Below are 6000 nucleotides of genomic sequence, written 5' to 3'. Positions count from 1 at the left end.
ATGAATAACAATCACAATTATATATAATGTATTTATAAATTTATAATTTATATACCATGTATAATGTATATATGATATACAACTTATAATATATAATATGTATATAATATACAGTATATATGCACAAAATGATATATGTGCCGTGTGCGTGTGTTTAGTCCAGCCACAATGCCTGCTATAAAGAAAGTGTTTGAAAAAACTGTTACTATTTCTTTATAAAACAAGACATCCAGAGTGTTGAGCACAAATATGCTATTATTGTATGAATGATACATGATAATCTTTACCTATGCATAAATTAATAGATTAGGATTAATATGATTACGTTGGGGAAATAATGCTTTCCTTGAAATAGTATATAAAGTACTTAGACAGCAGCCACTTACGGTTATACAGGTTGTGCACTGTGCAAAAATACCCAACTAAGGAGAGTAAGAAAGGGCAGAATTCCAGCATTTGTGCCATTCGGGAGATGAGATTTCTCAAGAGGAATGATTTTACAAATATTTATCAAGTTGCCTTAAAGGCTAATGTGGTAATACCTATAAAATAACTTTTATATTTTGATCATCTGGACTTCTCAAGTTTAAGAAAAAATTCTCGAATACTCTTCTCCTAGCACGAATAACAATCATGAGAATCTTAGATTTATGTGCAGACAAAATTGTTAATTGTAAAACTTTAGGTGACTGTTTTTTCTTTTTTCCAGAATACTAATACTCATCTTGAAATATATTTTATTATCCATCTATATGAAGTGAGAGAAAAAATAAATAGGCATCTGGGTTTAATTTGTTACATGAGGACACTTGGGAACATTTTTGGAGTACTGTTTTAATGGGTTAGTCGGCTAATGTTTTTCTTACTTCCTTTGTTTCTCTGTTTCTTGATAATCATTAATTATGTTCAGAAAATAATGCCAACATCATTATAAATATAAAACTCAATGTCTGATTAATATACATCTAGTTTAGAAAAGTCCTCTGGATTATGATCATCCTGCACTTCCTATGAAGAATTAATTTCTCACCCTTGCTGCTAATACCTCCATCAAAAATAGTTCTGGGTCTGTTGTGACTCCTAGTGGCTTAAAGTAGCAGCTTTCTCTGCTTACTTCATACCGATGTGTCATATTTCTCTCCACTTTCCCTTCACTGTATTTTATTTTTTGGTTCTAGCAAGTTACACATGTGTACATCTTTATCTCCTTCTTTCCGTTGTTACTTCCTCCCTGTACTCAGCTTCTTTCTGAAGAAAATGGAAAATCCTTCTCTTCTTTTTTCCACAAAAGTCATTTATATGTCCTTATCTTTCTATATTAAACCAGCTTTTCCCCCAAAAAATCCTCGAAATGTCATTAAAAAATTGTGTTGTTTAGTAGCTTGGCTTAATTCTGAATGTAAAAACATGATTTTATCTTTAAGATAATAGCCACCCTAACAGGTGTGAGGCGATATCCCATTGCGGTTAGGATTTGCATTTTCATAATGAATACTGACGTTTAGCATTTTTCATATACCTGTTGGTCATTGTATGTCTCCTTTGGAAAATTTTCTACTCAGGTTATTTGCTCATTTTTAATTGGCTTGTTCGTTTTCTTATTATTGGGTTGAGTTCCTTATATATTTTGAATATTAATATTTTATCAGATATATGGTTTGCAAATATTTTATCCCATTCTGTAAGCTGTATCTTCACTCTGTGACTGTTTCATTTGCTGTGCAGAAGCTATTAGTTTGTTGCAATTCTAGTTGTCTATTTTTGCTTTTGTTGCCTGTACTTTTGACAATCCCTTTTGAACTTTGAATCTTTGAATAATTCCAAGGAACAAGCAAAATTCTGATTCCTTTGCAGAGGTTCTGTGGAGGTGAAAATATGCAGGTGTGGTTGCAAGTACCCAGTGCTGGTGGTAGCAGTGGCAGAATCATGAGCAGATCCTTACTGTGGAAGGATTTTGGTTGTTCTCATCTTGCTTCGTAAGCTTCCCAGTATTCTCCTTGAACATCCAAAGCTCCGTAAATTCCTTCCAATAAATAACGTTGTAACAAATTCTTTTGTTCCTAAAGTTAGTCTTACTGCCATTATTACCATTGAAATCTTGACTGCACAGTCATTTCTCATAACATTCTAAAGTGGATGGACCATGCAAAAGGGCTCCATCTTTTTTTTTTTTCGAGACAGAGTCTCGCTCTGTCGCCCAGGCTGGAGTGCAGTGGCATGATCTCAGCTCACTGCAAGCTCCGCCTCCCGGGGACACGAAGGGCTCCATCTTAATGACCGCAACTGAAGTTCCAGGCTTGTCGATGAAACTGTGAGACTTGATCTCAGAATCGAATAATATTTATTCTCCCAATCCAGGAAGCAGAAGTGTTATTCTAAAATAATATCAATGCCTATAGTATAATATACTTTTGGTAAGACCATAAATAAATAGATGGCAATGGGTAATATTCAGTTCAGCCTGCTTCAAACCACTTTTCGTGAACACCTATTTATGTTTGGCATTGGGCTTAAAATGATTAATCAAGTGTTATACTATTCTTCACAAAGTTTAGAGTCCAGAATAGAGACATAGATCATAATACTCATAATACAATGTAAAAAGAGAGAGACTGCATAGCTATTGCTGAGGGTGCAAAGTTCAGGGATAAAGTGAAAAAAAAAACAAACTGTCCTAATTAGAGACAGTGAAGGATGTTGAAAGAGGTGATAATAGACTTAACACAGAGAGGAGCGCCTGAAGACTGAAGTAGTAAATTGTGGAGCAGAAAAAAAAAAAAAAAAAGAACGAACGAATAAGTATTTTTATAGCGTTTGTTTGTTATGATAAAACCAGCATGTTCAGTGTCTATCAGATGCTACATAAAGCAGACCAAGATGCTTGCAGTCACTGGGGAGGATTGTGTATGCAGGATGCAGGTATAAAGGAGACACAAAAAAGTCCACAGCACCACACTGAATAGTCTCTCAAGTGTCTCAGCTTTAGCATCATTTTCCTACTTGTCATGAGCATAATTTCCCAGTGCTATACTCTTCGTTAGGCAGACACTGCAATTAGCTATTAGCTGTCACACAGAGAAGCAGAGGAGCCCAGCTCAGGTGTAACAGCCAGGCTTCCTTTCACCAAGGCTGGAGGGAACCTCTTCTATCGGTTTGTTTATTTGTTTGTTTACAGGAGACAGTGCTGACTGCCAAATACATTTTAAGGACAAAAGTTGAAGCAGAAGGAAGGCAAACGTTAAATCTACAAAAGTGATTATCAGATTTCTTAAAGCTGTGATCACACTCATAATCTCTATTAAGATTTTACTTCCCCCTTTTCATGTTCAAAAATATTTGCTTTTCAAATAGTTTCTCCATATTTAAAAATTCTAGGCAACATTTGTGAAGTCTTTTTGAAGCCACAGGAAAACATATATACATATACATATACGTGTGTGTGTGTATACATGCTTATATATATCACATACATGTATATGTGTTTATATGTTTTCCTGTGGCTTTAAAATGTTGCCTAGAATTTAAATTATGTGTATATATATGTGTGTATGTATGTATATAATACATACATACAAACATACATAATTTACATATCCACCATTACTATATATAGTAATATGCACACACATATACATAATCTATATATAGTATACATATACTGTGTGTGTATACTATATACATACACATACATTTATGTGTAATTTATATGTACATACACTTACATACATTTATACGTAAATTTTCAGTGGAATGGTTTGAACTTTACCTGGGGTGAATTGACCTCATTTTAGTAGGCAGCACAACTTAATGCCCAAGAATAGAGACAATCTTTAAAGGTCATTATAAACGAACTATTTGAAATTTTCTAGAAACATCTAATTACATAAAGGTAATAGTAATAAACTTACTAAAGCCATTATATGGTCTTATCTACCGTATATACATATTAAATTACATGGCTAAAGATTCCTAAAGTAATACTTTGTTAGGTTGGTTTGAATTATGGCATATGCTCTAGATGAGCAAATTGGTATTTATTTTAAATTAGTATAGATTTTACTTTTTCCTGACAATTGTTGATAACCTCACAGACAGCATGAATTAATAATATTTTATTGTAACTTCTAAAGTTACTTATTTTCTTACCTATTCCTAAAACATTTCCTAGAATATATTCTAGCTATTTATAAGCCTTGAACTATCTGATTGTTACTGTTGTCACAGTGAAATTAGACTATCTGTGGAAGAGACAAGCAACATATTTTTTAGTTGCATCTGTCAACTAAATTAGCAGGGCACATCCGATATCTAATATAATATTTCAATAATTATTATCAGTTATACTAGATGTGAAGAAGAAAGAACCACTTAATTTTTAAAGTGAAGATTGAACTTCAACACTGTCAAAAAAAATCTTGTTTTGACTTGTAGAGTGGTCATATTTGCTATGTAAGACAGAGATGGAGAGAAAATAAGAAACAGCAGAATGACATCTTGAGAAGTCCTTTTTTGACCAAGACCACAGGGCAAAAACGTTTAGAGTATAACTGTAAAATTGTTTTAACATTGATTCTTAGCAGGAAAAAAAATTAAAATGTAATTGCGCTCACATGTTTTCTTTTTTTGTGTTGAATTTGTTTTGTTCTTATGAAAATGAATCTGATTCAAGAGAGGCCTGCAGCTGAAATCCCTACCTGGGGACTCTCAGTCACACTGATGAGCACAGGTTGTAGCTCCAGCCTCCAAATAAATCAGGTACAAGCAAATCACTCCACTACTGTCAATGCTCTGGATATTTCCTTATTTGCTGTACTTTCCGAGCACTTGAAATCATCCCTTAACTTTAGTCTCAAAGGCCTGAAATATAAAGATGTCTGTATTAGATTCCAATTGCTGCCTTAGCAAACTGCTACAAACTCAGTGACATAAACCTATACAAATTTAAAATCTTGCAATTCTGAAGGTCAGAAGTTAAAAATGAATTTTACCGGAATAAAATCAAGGTGTTAGCAGAGCTTCATTTCTTCTAGAGACTCTAACAGAGAATCCTTGCCTTTCTAAAGGCTGCCGCATTTTTTGGCTTATGGTCCTTTTCTCCATCTTCAGAGTCAGCAGCATAGTATCTCCAAATCTCTCTCTCTCGCTTTTTCTCTCTCTCACACACACACAATAATATGTCTACAAACCTCCTATAACTCTGCCTCTCCAGCCTTTGTGATTATGTTGGCCCTATGTAGATAATCTAGGAGGGATAATAGATAGTAATTAATAGCAACTAATGAATGGTAAGAAGTTATTTAAATGTCCCTTTGGTGATATTAAATACATTCCATTATGTTTATTGATAATATGTATTTTCTCTTCTATGAATTGCCTTTTTACATTATTTGCTCATTTTCCTAATAACAATGTCTATTTTTATGTTTTCCATTTGTATGATCATTTTGAATACTAAGGAAAGTAATCCTTGCAGTGTCACGTACGTTGCAATATTTTTCCAGTTTGGAAGTTGTCTTTTGATATTATCTCTGAAAGGTTTCCTGCTAAATGGTTTATAGTACATTCATTCATTCATTGATTCATTCAGAATTTGCTCACTCAATGAAGGAGAAGGAAGGAAGGAAAGGTCTAAAGAGCACATGTGAAAAGAAGGTGAAGGTAAGTAAAGAGTTAGTTAAATATAAAACCATGTAAAATCTCACTTCGTTCTACAACAATCTAGAAGTGTAGACAAAAGCTTTTCAGTTTTGCAGCTTAATAAATGGAGGCTCAGAGTTTAAGTAATGTCACCGGGATTTAAAACAATATCTGAATGGCTTAAAAAGCTCTTTTATTAAACTATGGTACCAAATGTGGTGATATTACTGCAAATCTCTTCAGTGTTATGCAGTGACCCTTTTATCCTACATAATCCAATTGAGTTGACCTGTCATGTTTTATGAATAGTAAAAGAATTAACCTTAAAGTATATATATTATGAATTAAGCAACTTCATATTTC

At 33.4% G+C, this 6000-nt stretch overlaps 1 annotated feature.

Moving 5' to 3' along the window:
- Positions 1076 to 1165: a silencer, noted in NCBI's record as "silent region_16206". NCBI's record gives its function as "represses an Ori minimal core promoter by ATAC-STARR-seq in GM12878 lymphoblastoid cells {active_cell/tissue: GM12878}" and the evidence as "EXISTENCE:reporter gene assay evidence [ECO:0000049][PMID:35858748]".

This window comes from Homo sapiens, chromosome 5 (assembly GCF_000001405.40).
Source record: "Homo sapiens chromosome 5, GRCh38.p14 Primary Assembly".
Taxonomy (NCBI): Eukaryota; Metazoa; Chordata; class Mammalia; order Primates; family Hominidae; genus Homo; species Homo sapiens.
Note: the sequence above shows the minus strand (reverse complement) of the source record. Positions and strands in the feature narration are given on the sequence as shown.